The sequence below is a fragment of the Homo sapiens genome, chromosome 1 (assembly GCF_000001405.40).
Source record: "Homo sapiens chromosome 1, GRCh38.p14 Primary Assembly".
Taxonomy (NCBI): Eukaryota; Metazoa; Chordata; class Mammalia; order Primates; family Hominidae; genus Homo; species Homo sapiens.
In genome coordinates, this window is record NC_000001.11 from 54,093,339 (window position 1) to 54,109,654 (window position 16,316).

Here is a 16,316-nt window from a genome sequence, read left to right on the forward strand (position 1 = left end):
GTGGGTTTGGATTACCCAAAGGCACTTACAAGACAGGTATTCTTCACTTTGCAACAAACTTGTTATACATAAGGTACATGATGAATCATTTTCTATTATGATTTTAATGTCACATATTTTTCTCCATTTCTTAATTCTGATTGGTCTTCATTTAACAAGAGGCATGCATGAGAATTGTTAGATGCTTGCCTTCTATTACCACCACACTGCTGGCATAGCACCTGTCATGCTGCCTACCCCCAGGTTCCTACCCACTTCTAGGATGTGAGTTTGTGATGGGCAGGGTTCACATCCTTTCTGTTCTATCTCTCTAAGAGCAGGCTAGACCCAGAGTAGCAATTCAGTTAACTATTTGCTGAATGAAGTATGTGAATTCCAAGATACTCTCAGAGTACTTTTTTTTTTTTTTTTAATACAGGTACTATAATTTGCTGGAGTGGCCATGACTTGTTTTACAAACACATATACCCTTCTTCTTTGATAACGACTCCCCTCAAAAAAAAAAAGACTTTCATGCTAAGTGTATCTCTAACCATCAGTGGAGACTAACCAGCCTCATACCGGGATAAGGAACTTTCTTTCTGGCAAATGCTGCAGGACAAATGCTGGATAGCCAGCTAGCCACCTTTCCAGCTTCCTAAAGTAGTCTGGTGCCAGGCCTGCCTCAGGGGGCTAGTTCAGTGCCCGGAAAGGAAGCCTGGAAAAACTTGGAGTCTGGGTTCTAGAGAACCACAGCGCCAAGTCCACTCACTCCAGCACAAGCCTTGGAAATAATCTGTCTGTCATTAGGACCACAAACTTTTGTGAGCACCTTTTGTCGGCTAGACTAAGGCAGATATCTGGGCCTGGATATTCACTCTCTCTCTCTTTCTTTCTCTCTGTCTCTTTCAGTCCTGTTCTGCTCTTTGCTTGGTCCTTATATCTGACAAGTTTGTTTTTTCTACTTACTTTGGTCCATCTGTCTCTCATGTTAGGACATTTTATTAAATGTCAGGTGACCCCTTTTTATTTGGGGTGTGTTTTTTCTTTTTTTGAACTTTGCTTTTTGCACAGAAGAACAAACATATATGTACAGCTCAGTGAATTTATCACAAAGTAAACACCTATTTCACCTAGCCAGATCCTACTCATGCTCCAGGTCTCAGATTAAACTTCATTTCCTCTTGAAGCCAGGCACTGCCCTCCTGGGTTGGGTTGCTTTGCCATGGCTGTGTTCTCCACAGCGCTGGTTCCTCTCCTTTCTCCTGGTGCACAGGATCCTTACAACCCCTGTTCACAGTCTGTCTGTCCTACTAGACTAGGCTGCCCAAGGGCCCAAGGGCTGAGCCTGCCTTAGTCACTGTTTATTGCTCAGCCCAAGCACAGAGCCTGGCACATAGTGCTGAATAAATGTTTGAATGAGTGGCTAAGGTAGGGAGAGAAAGGTTAAAGGTAAAAAAGGAAGTGAGAGAGAGAAATTTGTCTCCTATTTTCAAGGAATTTTCTACTAGGAGAGACAAACTTAAAATATAGATCATTGGCTGGGTGCAGTGGCTCATGCCTGTAATCTCAGCACTTTGGGAGGCCAAGGTGGGAGGATTGCTTGAGGCCAGGAGTTCAAGACCAGTCTGGGCAACATAGCAAGACCCCATCTCTAAATTTTTTTTTAATTTTAATTAGCGGAGCATGGTGGTGCATGCCTGTAATAATCCTAGCTCTTGAGAGGCTGAAGCCAGAAGATCACTTGAGCCCATGAGTTTGAGCCTGCAGTAAGCTTTGATCACACCACTGCACTCCAGCCCAGGTGACAGAGTGAGACAGTATCTGTAAAATAAAAGTATATACTTCATTTATAATATATGATGATAGTGACTAAGGGAAGCTCAGGGCATGGTGGCAGCCTGAAGAGCTTTCAGTCCTTTGCACTGGGGTCTTTTTGTTTGGTTGTTTTTGCCTCGGCTTTGACATACAAAGAGGAGTGTTTTCCGTAGGGAAAGGTGTGCCTTGCTAAGGGAACATGTGCTGGTGCAGAGGCACAGAGGTGTGTGAAAGTGGTCAAGAGTGGAGTGCTCAGGGCCAGGTGTGGTCAGGATTGGGGAGGGGAATAGCTGAAGATGGGCCTGGAAAGGAGGGTAGGGGCTGGGGGGTCTCGGATCAGCATCCCAACCTACCCTGGATTCAGACCGTGTAGACAAAGTTCCAGATCTCTCCTGCTTTGATTAGGTCTGGGACCTCAAGATGGCTTGGGCCTGAGCCAGACCACCCCAGAATTGCTACAGTTCCCTTCCCTAGACCTGCTCTGCTTAATGGAAACTGTAGGCGTCTCTCCAATCTCAACCATTCTCTCGGAATGTTGAAGGGGCCATTAGTATGGTGAAAGGGAAGAAACATGAACTTTGGAGTCGAGGGGTCCAGGTCACAGTCCCAGCTCTGTCTCTTAGTAATTGTAAGACCTTGAACCTTTGCCTTTGAACCTATTTCCTTATCTGTAAAATGTGATAATAGGAGTTATGAGCATTAAATGTGAAAAGTGATTTTTGAACTGTTCTGTACACATATTAGGATCTAGACCCCATGTCTCTAAAATGCCGTAAGGAGTTAAAAGGCAGTCTAAAAACAAAACAAAAAAAAATATGAACCGTTATACTGATTTATTATTCTTGGTCTTCGTTTCCTGGTTGGTAAAGTACAGGGCCCAGTACCCGTTGCTTAGTTCAGGCCAGTTTCCTGTTATATTACCACCCGGCAGGGGTTGTGAATGAGGTCCCTGTCACAAAGCACATGGCCTTGTTCCTTAATTGCCAGGGTGGAATTAATTTGCTCTTCCTGTTTCTCTTGTGACAGGAAGTAGATGTCCTTGAATTTCAGTTGATTAATGGAGGCCTCTGAGCAGAGTGCTCCAGCCTCTCTTGCTTTTAATCCTTACGCAATGTAAGGCTCTAATTTGATAATTTTGCTGTTTTTTAGATGGATCACCTACTGGTTGAAAATATTGAACGGGAAACGTTTCATCTCTGCTCCCGCCTCATTAATGGGCCGTACCGGCGGACGGTGAGAGCCCTGGTCTTCACATTAAAGCACCGAGCTGAAATCCGGGCTCAGGTGAAGAGCGGCTCGCTGCCAGTCGGCACGTTTGTACAGACCCACAAAAAGTGACCTGAGGACGGTTCCAGCCCTGGGCCAGGCAGAGAGGAAAATGGGCCTGTCTCTGCCGTTCAAAGACGCTTTTGAGTTTGGGTGATGGCTGATGCTGGCTGTGCTAGATTTTCCCATGGTGCCGTTCCTTTGCAGACAGAGGATTCGGAGAGCCCTAGGAGACAGGCCTGCAGGAATGTGCTTCATTAGCTGCAGTGCGCTGGTGCTGCCTAACAGAACGCACACTGGCTGTCACTAGGAAGCGCCATACGGTTGCTATCACCCAACATGGTGAAAGGGTGATGGATTTCACTGTGAATATGCCAAGGACACCTCTAAACTTCCCCCATGTCAGTCAGATGAAGTTACTACTATATTTCACCACCCTGCAGGTAACTGAAACTCAATTACCGCTGCCGCTCACTCGGTTCCATCCCCCTGAGTTTAGATAGCTCTGGTGCCTCTCAGAACTCCCCTGTCTGTTCTCTTTGCTCTATCCCAGGGGTGAGCCTGCGAGAGCCAGCCAACTACCCCTTCTTCCCAGAGCTCACTTATCTGAACGTTTCAGCTCTCCCTGGAAGACCTTCTGCGTTGGTCTCCAGAGCCCCCATGCTGAGGCTACTAATGAGGAACTGGCCCGAAGCCTCCCACACCTCAGGGTTTATTTGAATACGCTGGCGCTCTCAGTTTAGGGCTCTGTAGAAGATACATAATGAAATTTCTCTTGAAATGAATTACTGCAGTAGAAAAAAGTACATACATATATATGTTAAAATGAAATATCTCTACACAGGCCTGTTTTAACAATTACGTAAATAATACTTGTTTTTTTAAAAGTAATAGTAAGCTGGGAACTTTTTTTTCTAAAACAAAAGGTGGAGTTCGTTCACTGAAAAGTGTTTTGAGTTGAGAAGGGGTACAGTTGGTGAAATTTAAAAATGATGGAACAAGGATTTGAGGAATGTAGAAGACTCAAGGAAGTGGGGATTAGATTAGGGGAGACTGGAGCACGTTTGTAATCTGAAAGGAAAGAGCTGGTAGAAGGGGAGAGATTTAAAATCCAAAAAAAAGGAAGATGAGTTGAAAAGCAAGGGGAGAAGGGACGGGACTAACATTATTGCCTACCTTCTAAATACTAGGCACTTTTCCTAAGACAGTTTATTAACCTTTACCTGGATCTTTATATAGTTTTGTAAAAATATTGCTTACTTCTCTCACCCATTGTATTAAGTAGGTATTGTTGTTTTCATTTTTTAGATTTATTCGTTTATTTAGCAACCATTTCCTGAGCATCCATTCTGTGGGGTAGGTGTATACTGAGCAGTAGTTACAAATGGGAGCCTGAGGCTCACTGAACAGAAACATCACCTTCAATTTCCTACTGCTAGTAACTATTGGAGCTAGAATAATAATAATCGAGCGTTTACCCTGGGCCCAGCACTGTGGTAACCATTTTACAAAAAGAAAATACCCAGTTAAACATGAGAAAAGTGAGGCTCAGAAAGGTATAGTAACTTACTCAAGGTCACGCAGATAGTGAATGACAGATCTAAGATTCAAAATCCGGGTCTATTTGATTGTATATGGTTGCCTTGGATGATTTCATCTACTCTCATGTTTTCAAGCATCATTTACATGCTGATGACATTCCAGTTTGTATCGTCAGCCCAGACCTGTCCCCTGACTTTCAGATGATATTTCCTAGATGCCCCATAGACATCTCAGATATAACATGTCTTCTTTCCATTGGCAGTACCAGCAAGCCAGACACTCCAGCTAGGAACTCAAGGAGTCAGCCTAGACCCCACATCTCCCACCCTCAGCCAACCAAGTCCTGGTGGTTTGATTAGGTTGGTGCAAAAGTAATTGTGGTTTTTGCCATTACTTCTAATATATTACTTCTTTGCATTTGCTGTTCCAGTTGCAATGCTCTTTCCCCAGACATCTGCATGTTCTTGTCCTCACTTGCTTTAGGTCTCTCTTTCCCTTATCAAAAAGGCTTTTGCTGACTATCCTAAATACAATAGCACTCCCTCCCAACTATTCTTTAATGCTGTACCTAGCTTTATTTTTCTTCAGAATATTTATTACTCTTTAACATAGTTATTTCTTTATTGTCTATCTCCCCACTCCCAGAATGTAAGCTTCATGAAAGCAGAGTCTCTGTTCTGTTCCCTGTTATATCTCCAGCATCTGGAACAGAGCCTGGGACAAGCTAGGTCTCCATAACTATTTATTGGATAGTTGAGTGACTGGTTGTGGATGTACAGTATAAGCATCTAATTCAATCAGGGAGTGCTTCCTGGAGGAGCTGATACCTGTGTTCAGTCTTAAAGGGCAGGAGTTTGGATAGGGGAATGTTAGTTAATAGAATGAAAATTTCAAAATTAAAGGGCAGGAGTAATTAATTGGGTGGTTGAGATGCATGCCTGGCAGAGCAAGCAGAGTATGGAAAAACCCAGAAGTGGAGATATCTGGAAGGTGATTGGTATGGCTGGAGTAGAGGACACTGGCAGGAGAGTAGCTGGAGATGAGGCAGGAGAGGAAGGCAAGGACCAGGATCAGGTTTGAAGGGTCTTGAGCATCAGGTGAAGGCGTTAGACTGATTTGAAGCAGGAACTGGTCACTTTTGTGTTAATAGGCTATGTGGAAGAGAAGCTGGGGTAGGGAGACAGGAAGTAGCAAGCTTCATGTTTAAAGAACCAAAGAGTTCTGCTAACTTAGGAACCCAGAGTAAGTTGAAAACAAATTGCTCTCTGGCTGAAAGCCTTCAGTGGTGATAGTTGGAAAGTAGAATGATTGCAGAGATGTGCTTTGGAGATTTGGAAAGCAGGCTGTGTTATTTGTGGCTGTTTTCTCCTTGATGCATGTGCAGAATTTCCATGAACGCTAATGGAGCTATTCTGAGCATTTGCTGAAGGGAAGGAAGCTTGCAGACATCCCTCCCAATCTTGCCCACACACTGAGAAGTAACTCGGAGCTACAGTCTGTTAAAAATGAAAAGGTTGAGGCCGGGTGCATTGGTTCATGCCTATAATCCCAGCGCTTTGGGAGGTCGAGGCAGGCAGATCACCTGAGGTCAGGAGTTTGAAACCAGCCTGGCCAACATGGCGAAACCCTGTCTGTACTAAAAATACAAAAATTAGCCAGATATGATGGCAGGCGCCTGTAATCCCAGCTACTTGGAAGGCTGAGGTATGAGAATCGCTTGAACCTGGGAGATGGAGGCTGCAGTAAGCCAAGATTGTACCACTGCACTCCAGCCTGGGCAACAGAGTGAGACTCTGTCTCAAAAAAAAAAAAAAAAAGAGAAAAAGAAAAAAGTTGCCCCTGAAATGGGGTGAGAGTAGTTCCTGAGACCTCTGAGTTACCTGTAAGTCAAGGTGTGAATATGTCTTATAAGCAAGTTCAGTTGCTAGGGGAAATGTGGGAAAGTAAATACCATTTGTGTCTGCTCTAATAGCTTATTGATGCTTTTCTTGTAGTGGTTAATTTGGAGGTCCTGGTTGGGCATGGTAGCTCACACCTATAATCCCAGCACTTTGGGAGGCTGAGGCAGGCGGATCACTTGAGGTCAGGAGTTTGAGACCAACCTGGCCAACATGGTGAAACCTTGCCTGTACTAAAAATACAAAAATTAGCCAGATCTGGTGGCAGGCACCTGTAATCCCAGCACTCGATAAGCTGAGGCAGGAGAATTGCTTGAACCCGGGAGGCGGAGGTTGCAGTGAGCTGAGATGGCGCCATTGCACTCCAGCCTGGGCGACAGAGCAAGACTCACCTCAGTCTCAAAGATAAAATAAAATAAAAATAAATAAATAAAAATTGGAGGTCTTGGTCCTCTGTGTAGGGACTCAGTCTCTGTATTTTCATTCATTCATTCAACAAACAAATATTGCCCATCTTCTGTGTGCCAAGGACTAGACTGGCACTGGGGACACAGCAATAAAGGAGAGATAATTTCCTCTGAGTCTGGTGAGGCAGATAGACACATAACTAAATAAATAGAGTATAGCATATTGGGTGATAACTATAGACATGAAAATATTGAGAAGATGGGGAAAGGAATGAATAACACCACTCAGAGGAAGAATCTTCACAGAGGAGTTCATGTTTGAACCAAAGCCAGAAGGATAGGTAGGAGTTCTTAGCAGAGGGCTCAGTCTATGTGAAAGCACAGAAGCGTGAGGTGTATGGCTAGTTTCAGTAAAGGCAAATAATATGAGGTGGCTGAAGCATAAGGTTCTTAGGAATGGTAGTGAGAAATTGGGCAAAAAAAGTAACCAAGGCCTTGGAGGCCTTATCAACGAGTTTGGACTTTGGCCTTCAGATAATGGGATACCATGGGAAGTTTTTGAGGAGGTGAGGGACCTAATCAGATGTGTGTTTTAAAAAGATTTAAAAAACAAAAACAAAAACAGATATTTTAAGAAAATTTTAAACATTCAAAAGAAACCCAACAATTTAAGGCAAAGGAAAGAAACACTTGAGATTCAGTCAATTAGAGGTTTTTTTTTTTTGACAAATGAAGTTTAAAGTTGCCCAAACAGATATCATTAGAGAATCCCAGGTTTGAAAAATGGCAGGAGACCCAGATAATGCATTTACTGTGTTCTGTGGTGAAGGAACAGGTAGCTGGCCTTTTTCATTTATAGAATATCAGGTTCTTAAACTTGTGCCTGTCAACCTTGGTTTTCTTTTGCTGTAGCCTCAGGCCTCAGAACCTTACTCTGAGATTGGTAATGTGTTTTGAATGTGTTTATCACAGCCAGATGGGGCAAAGGCTCAGTTTGTTACTGCCCATTATTGCAAGGGAAGGGAGTCCATCCAGAAAACAAAGCTTTGGGAGTTTCAGTTAGTTGGGTGACACTACCCTGGTATCAAAGGAAAGATGGTTTGATTGGATGACATTGTATTTTCTTTAAATCAATCAAAATGATACAATTACTGTCAGGGATGGACTTACTCATAACCTGGGGAGGTTGGTTTCAAGATCCAAGAAGATCAAGACATCCAATCAAATGCTGGTTTTTAATGTTGATAAAATCATTCTTTCAATACATATTTGTTGAGTTCTTACGTGTCAGGTATTAGGGTCACAGGGATAGAGAAGACATAATCTTTGGCCTCAAGAAGCTTACAGTCTAGTGAAGACTGTAAACAGACAATAAACAGACAATTTTTACTATTTATTTTTATTTTGGGAGGGGGTCAGGGTCTCACTCTGTCGCCCAGGGTGCAGTACAGTGGTGCAATTACAGCTCACTGCAGCTTTGACCTCCCAGGTTCAAGCAAGCCTCCTACCTCAAGCCTCCCAAGTGTCTGGGACCATAGGTATGTGCCATCATACCTGGCTGATTTTTTATTAGCCAGATTGTCACCATGTTGATCAGGCTTGTCTTGGACTCCTGGCCTCAAGTGAGCCTCCTGCCTTGGCCTTCCAAAGTGTTGGGATTACAGGCATGAGTCACTTTGCCTTGCCCAGACCATTTTTGAAAACACAAATGGGCAGGGTGCAGTGAGATTTTTAGGGGCCAATGGTCTGGGATGTGGCAGGGACATTCTCTTGAAAGTAAAAGACAATTATTGCATCTCACTCCAACCATTAAGAAGGAAGCACAATGCCTGGGAGCCCTCTTTAGGTTTTGGAGACAGCATATCCCACACCTAGGAATATGCTCCATCCATGTACCGGATGACACAGAAAGTTGTGTTTTGATTGGGGCCCAGAGCAGGAAAGGGCTCAGCAGAAGCTCCAGGCTACAACACAAGTGGCCATGCGGTGTGGGACAGATGAGCTGGCAGAGCCCAAAGTACCCGAGGTATCTGTGGTGGGAACAGATGCCTGTGAAGTTTATGACAAGACCCTACAGGAGAATCACAATGTAGACACCTGGGGTTCTGGAGCAGGGCCATGCCATCTGTAGCCAAGAATTTTATACTTCTTAAGAAACAACTCTTGATGCTACAGGGTTCTGGTAGAGACAGATCATCAGACCATGGATCATCAAGTTGACCATGTGACCAAAGCTGTTCATCATGAGCTGGATTCTGCCATATCCACCAAGTCATAAGGTCAGGCAAAGCCAGCAGCAATTCCTAAGATAGAAATAATACAACTGGGGTTGGGCATAGCAGGGCCAGAGGGCAGAAGATAGTTACGTGAGCAGGTGGCCCAGACATCTATGTCATCCACTACCTTTGCACCAGTACCTGCCTGTTCCTCATTTCACACCTTTGGCTGCCTGGGGAGCTCTTTATAATATCCAGCTGATAGAAGAGAAAAAAAGCCATGCCTTATCCTTAGATAGGTCAGCTCAGTGTGTGTGAGCAAGACAAAAAAAGACCGTGGCTGCACTGCAGCCCCACACAGGGGCATCCTTGAAAGACAGCAGAGTGGGGAGTCCTTCTAGTGGGCATAGGTTGTGCATCATGCACCTAGCCATCCACTGTATGTGGAAAGAGAAGGAGCCTGAGCTTAGACTATACATGGATCTCATGGGCAGTGGTGAATGGCTTGGCTGGTTGGTAAGGGGTCTGAAAGGAATAAGATTGGAAAATTGGAAACAAGGAGACCTGTGGTGGAGGCATGTAGTTGGACCTATAGGAGTGGGCACCAAGTGTGAAGATCATTGTATTCCATGTAAACACCCACCAGAGAGCACATACCATGGAGAAGCACTAAACAACAATGTACACACAGTTGACATCAACCAGTCTCTGAGGCCACCCCAGAGCTGACACAATGGGTGTATAAACAGCAACCATGGTGGTGTAGTAGTCCATTTTCACACTGCTATAAAGATACTACCTGAGACTGGGTAATTTAAGAAGGAAAGAGGTTTCATTGACTCAAATTTCTACATGGCTGGGGAGGCCTCAGGAAACTTACAATCATGGCAGAAGGCAAGGGGAAGCAGGCATCTTCTTCACAAGACAGCAGGGGAGAGAGAGAGTGCAAAGGGGGAACTGCCAAACACTTTGAAACCATCGGATCTCTTGAGAAGTCACTCACTATCATGACAACAGCATGGGGGAAACCGGCTCCGTGATCCAATCACTTCCCACCATGTCCCTCCCTCAACACGTGGGGATTATAATTCGAGTTAAGATTTGTGTGGAGACACAGAGCCAAACCATATCAGATGGTATGGCATGGCTCCCACTCACCAAGACTGATCTAGCTATTGCTGCTGCTGAGTGTTCGGCCTGCCAGTAACAGAGACCAACTCTGAACCTAGATATAGCTCCATCCCTTGAGAACAACCAGCAGCCACTTGGGAAGTTGGCTATATTAAACCCTGTCTACCCTGGAAAGAGCTGTGATTCATTTTCACTGGCATAGATGTATATTCCAGATACGAGTTCATCTTCACTGCTTGTAGAGCTTCATCCAGCACAACTCTCAAAGGGCTTATAGAATGTTTAATCTACTGGGATAGATTATGGGATCTATAGATTATGGGATAGTCATACAGGATCCCATATGATTCCACAGCAAAGGAGGTGCAGCAGTGGGCACATGGTGACAGGGTCCACTTGTCCTTTCATCTACTGCGCTATCCTGAAGCTGCCAGCTTGCAACTGTGTCGAAGGCACAGCTGGGGCACCAGCTCAGAAACCCTGAGAGAAGAGCTGCCATCCTCCAGGGTGCAGCACATGTTCGAAATCAAAGACCGTTACGTGATGCTTTGTCTCCAATAGGTAGAATACATGAGTCCAGGAACCAAGAAATGAAAGCAGGAGTGCTCTCACTCTTACCATCACTTCTAGTGACCCACTTGGAGTGCCTCCTGTTCTCATAGTTCTGGGCTCTGCAGGTTTAGAGGTTTTGAGTCACAAAGGAGGAACACTTCCACTAAAAGAAACATCAAGATTACTATGAACTATTAGCTGTGACTGCACCCGGGCACTTGAGCTCCTCATATCAGGAGACTACTAGGCAAGAACAGTCACCATTCTTTGAGGGATAATTAATCCTGATCATCAGGAGGAGGTACAGCTGCTGTTAAGCAATGGAGGGAAGGGAGGTATATCTTTGGTACTCAGTTGATTCACGTGGAGACTTCTTGGTATTCCTTTGCCCAATTTTTTTTTCTTTTTCTTTTTCAGAGGTGGAGTCTCTGTCACCCAGGCTGGAGTGCAGTGGCACCATCTCGGCTCACTGCAACCTCTGCCTCCTGGGTTCAAGCTATTCTCCTGCCTCAGCCTCCCGAGTAACTGGGATTACAGGCATGTGCCACCATGCCCAGCTGATTTTTGTATTTTTAGTAGAGATGGAGTTTCGCCATGTTGGCCAGACTAGTTTTGAACTTCTGGCCTCAAGCAGTCCACCTGCCTCAGCTTCCCAAAGTGCTGGGATTACAGGCGTGAGCCACTGCGCCTGGCCCCTTGCCCAATATTTATAAAATAATTATACAAGTGCCCAGACCGTGACCTGAGCAGGATATGCTGACTTCAGGCTCAGCCCCCTCAGGGCTGAGGGTCTAAATCATGCCTCCGTGGAAGTGACGGAGACCGGAACACGTGCTGGCTGAGGGTAAGGAGGATCTAGAATGGATAGTAGAAGAGGGAGATGATGAGTATCAGTTGTGGCCTCAAGACCAGTCAGTGATGGAGGTTGTAGTTTGTCCAACTTACTTTCCTAAGTTTCCCCCAGGAAAGGAGGTCCACCAGAACTTAAACCAAAAAGTAGAGCTGAGCAGCACAAATGTGGGCTGTAGTGGACACCATCCTGTGCTGCCCAGACCCCCCAGCCACCATGCTTCCTGGGCCTCTTCCCACAGCTACTGGGAGTGCTCTCAGCCAGCAGCCTTCAGCTGTCAGCCCCCTGGGAATTTTCCTCAATGGAAGAGTTACCTCACTGACATACCCCTTTCCCAGGCAGGTCAGTTCAAGGTTATGAAGGCCTGGCCCCACTGCCTCAACTTGACAACTTGGAAGGGCCATCTCAGCTTCAAGACCCTCCCATGAGACTGGCTGAGGTCTTCATACAGCATCGGAGCCCAATTTATCTCTCTGAGCAATCCTGCTTCCTTTCCTGCCCCCTTCCCAAGAGCAATCCCTGATAAACTTCCCGCATGCTAATCTCCATCTCAGAGTCTACTTTCCAAGGAAGTGGGCCTATAACATAGCTCTTCCAGTTTTTGTTAACAATTCTAGAACAGGGGTCAGCAAACTTTTTTTTTTTTTCGAGACGGAGTCTCACTCCGTCACCAGGCTGGAGTGCAGTGGCGCGATCTTGGCTCACTGCAACCTCTGCCTCCCGGGTTCAAGCGATTCTCCTGCCTCAGCCTCCCGAGTAGCTGGGACTACCATGCCACCACACCCAGCTAATTTTTTTATTTTTAGAGAGATTGGGTTTCACCATGTTGGCCAGGATGGTCTTGATCTCTTGACCTCGTGATCCGCGCTCCTCGGCCTCCCAAAGTGCTGGGATTATAGACATGAATCACCACACCCGGCCAGCAAACTTTTTTAAAGGAACAGATAGTAAATATTTTAAGCTTTGTGAGCCACATGGTCTCTGTCACAACTATTCAGCTCTGCTATTGTAATACAAAAGCAGCTGTGGACAGTATGTAAATGAATGAATGTGGCTGTGTTCCAATAAAACTTTATTTACAAAAACAGGTGGTGGGCTGCATTTGGTTCATGGGCCTTAGCATGCCAAAACATGCTCTAGAGAAATACTTTTACATATGTGCAAAGGAGGCATGTACAAAGATTTTAATTGCAACATGGTTTGTAACAGCAAAATTTTAGAAATGGTCTAAATGCACATTTAAAAAAGAATGGTTAAATTGTACATCCAGATTTTGGAATACCGTGCAGTGGATAAAAAGAATGAGTTTAGGTTTGTATAACAGCACTATCTAATAGAAATATAACACAAACCACATATGTATTTTTTAATTTTCCAGTAGCCACATAAAAAATATAAAAGGAAACAAATTAATTTTAATAATATATTTTGAGTCCAATATGCCCCAAATATTATTACTTTGACATGTGATCAATGTAAAAATTACTGAGACATTTTACATTTTTTGTACTAAGCCTCTGAAATGTGGTATGTATTTTACTCTTACAGTGCATCTCAGTTTGGGCTAATTACCTTTTCAAGTGCTTATAGCCTCATGTGGCTAGTGGCTACTGTGTTGGACCACGCAAATTTATAAGTACTGACATGGGAACATCACTGAGACATATTGTTAAGTGAAAAAAGGAAGCTGCAGTACCATATGTACACTATGAACTATTTATGTAAGGGAAAAAAACTATTTCCATAGAAACATATTGAGAAAAAGAAAAAAAAAAGATGTGTACAGATATATACCCAATTTAGAGAGACGTTTTGGATGGGGTGAGGGGTTTTTGGTCAGGAGGGACTCACTCCCCTTGCCTGATTTTTTTAAATAAACTTTTTATTTCGGAGTTATTTTAGATACACAAAAAGTGGCAAAAATACAGAGAGTTCATGTATGCCCCTCACCCAGTTTCCACCATTGTTAACTTCTTACAATAGTGTGGTACATCTGTCAAAATTAAAAGTCCACTGTTGGTATACTACTATTACTAAACTCCAGACTTCACTCAGACTTTGCCAGTCTTCCCACCGATGTCCTCTTTCTGTTTCAGGATTCAGTCCAGGACCCCAGGCTGCACTCAGTCATCCTGTCTATCCTGTCTCCTCTGTTCTGTGACAGTTTCTCAGGCTTCCCTTGTTCCCCATAACCTTGACAGTCTTGAGCAGTACTGGCCAGGTGTTTCGTAGACTGTCCCTCAATTTGGGTTTGTCTGAGGATTTCTTCATGACTAAGTTGGAATTCAGGGTTTTGGGGAAGAATACCACTGAGATGAAGTGCCTGTCTCATCACTTCACAGCAGGGGGCACATGGCTTCCACAGGACTATTGACTGGTGATGCTAGCCCTGAGTGCTTGGTTACGTTAGTTTTTGCCAGATTTTCCCACTATGAAGTTGTCATTTTTCCCTTTCCATATTTTGTTTTTGGAGGCAAGTCACCAAATCTAACCCTCACTCAAAGGTTAGGGGGCTGGGGGTGGATTAAACTCCACCTCCTGGAGAGTGGAGTATCTACCTATATAATTTGGAAGGCTTCTTTAAGGAAGATTTGTCCCTTCTCTGCCATTTAATTTTTTTGATAATTTATTTATTAATATATCAATATGGACTCATTTATTTTATGCGTTGGGTTGTAATCAGATGTTTTTTCATAGTGATCATAAATTCATATAATGTATTTTTAAATGCAGAAAACATACACAACCACGTTGTGTGAGAAACAAGCTCTTATGATTGGCAAGGATTTTTCCTCCACAGCTTTTCATGTCTGCCTTTGAGTAGGATAATCATTAGCGTATTGCTATTCAACCATAGACATGCTATTTCAACTCTCCAGACCTCAATTTCCCCATCTAAGTAAGAGAATATTTTGTGAAATGGTCTCAGAGGTGAAGAAGGGGATGGTATTTGTATGTTTGTAAGTGTCCACATATTTTGTTGCCTATTAATAGACCCTTAGTCCTTAATGGTTATCTTCTTTTATTTATGTTGGAAAATGAACTCAGAGCTAATAGCCCTTGAGAACATCCTGTAAACATAATCAATATTTATATCCCCCATTACAACCCCAAAGGGTTCGCCTTCCTTGCTCTTTCACCCCTTTAAGTGGGATTAAGTTTTCCTTTTATTCCTCAGCTTTTTCTCCAGCGGCTGAAGGCTAACCTGAGGCCTAGCATTCCCAGTCCTGCTGACTTCTTTGGCCTGATTCTTGTGCCTCTCATCTAGCTATGCATAGCCACACGGATGTCCTTATCACCCTGCATCATCCCCAAATTCGTATGTTGAAGTCCTCACCCCCAGTACCCCAGAATGTGACTGTATTTGGAGATAGGGCCTTTACAAAGCTAATTAAGGTAACATGAGATCATATGGGTGAGCCCTAATCCAGTATGACTGGTGTCCTTATAAGAAGAGATTAGGATGCAGACAGCACACAGACCATGTGAGGACCAGCAAGAATGTGGCCACCTACAAGCCAAGGAGAGAGGCCTCAGAAGAAACCAAACCCACTGACACCTTGATCTTGGACATCTAGTCTCCAGAACTGCGACAAAATAAATCTGTTGTTTAAGCCATCCAGTCTGTGGTACTTTGTTATGGCAGCCCTAGTAGAAGCTAATACACACAACCATGAATGAAAATGCTTCTTGAGCCGGGCGTGGTGGCTCATGCCTGTAATCCCAGCACTTTGGGAGGCCGAGGCGGGCGGATCATGAGGTCAGGAGATTGGGACCATCCTGGCTAACACAGTGAAACCCCATCTCTACTAAAAATACAAAAAATTAGCCGGGCATGGTGGTGGGCGCCTGTAGTCCCAGCTACTCGGGAGGCTGAGGCAGGAGAATGGTGTGAACCCGGGTGGCGGGGCTTGCAGTGAGCCGAGATCGCACCACTGCGCTCCAGCCTGGGTGACAAAGCAAGACTCCGTCCCAAAAAAAAAAGAAAATGCTTCCTGAATACCTGCCTCCTCTATGCCAGGCCCGGTGACAGGTCCCAGGCCGCAGAGATGAACCAGACGGGGGCTCACAGTCCAATAAGGAGCCAAGTCATCCATCTATTGCAATCTGACATACTAGGGGCTGAGTGGGAGCACAGTGGAGGGACCACTGAACTGTGCCTGTAGAGGGGCCTGGCCCGGAGGGTATCAGGAAAGGTTTAGCAGAAATGCTGACTTGTGAGCTGGGTTTGAGAGTTTTAGAGGAGTTTCCCAGGTAGGGAGTGGCATTCCAGGTACAAGGAAAGGTATGTGCAAACGTGGAAGCTAGAAGGATGTCAAAGAACAGGAGTAAGTGTGACGTGGATGGAGCCAAAGTGCAGCAGGAGGAGGAATAGCATGAAGTGAGCCTGGAGAAGGAGGTAGAGGCCAGTATGTGGGTGGCCTGAGTGCTGGGCTGGGAATTTTTACTTGGAGAACTTTAAAGGTTTTCAGGTGAGGAAACTCCTAAGTAAAATTATGGTTACATGTATCAGGGGCTTACTACGTAGGTAACTATTTGTTAACCAGCAAATATGGAGCACCTATAGCACATCAGGCATTTCGTTATCTGTTTCCCTCTCCACCTGAATGTGAACTTCTCCAGGGAAGGGACTGTCTGATTTATTTCTGTGTCCCCA

General features: G+C 44.6%; 1 protein-coding gene across 2 annotated transcripts in view; it reads left to right on the top strand.

Annotated features, from left to right (window-relative positions):
* Positions 1-16,316, top strand: part of TCEANC2 (transcription elongation factor A N-terminal and central domain containing 2) — a 58,913-nt gene that overhangs the window by 39,731 nt on the left and 2,866 nt on the right. Inside the window, exon 4 of one of the 2 annotated variants that reach the window (NR_130900.2) lies at positions 2,947-3,506. Coding sequence is in view for 1 of the 2 variants with exons in the window: in NM_153035.3 (NP_694580.1) it covers positions 2,947-3,135 (189 nt within the window). In the remaining variant the exon portion in view is untranslated. Of the gene's footprint in view, positions 1-2,946; positions 12,745-16,316 lie in introns of those variants that run through there. The other variant, NM_153035.3, reaches the window with a different exon arrangement.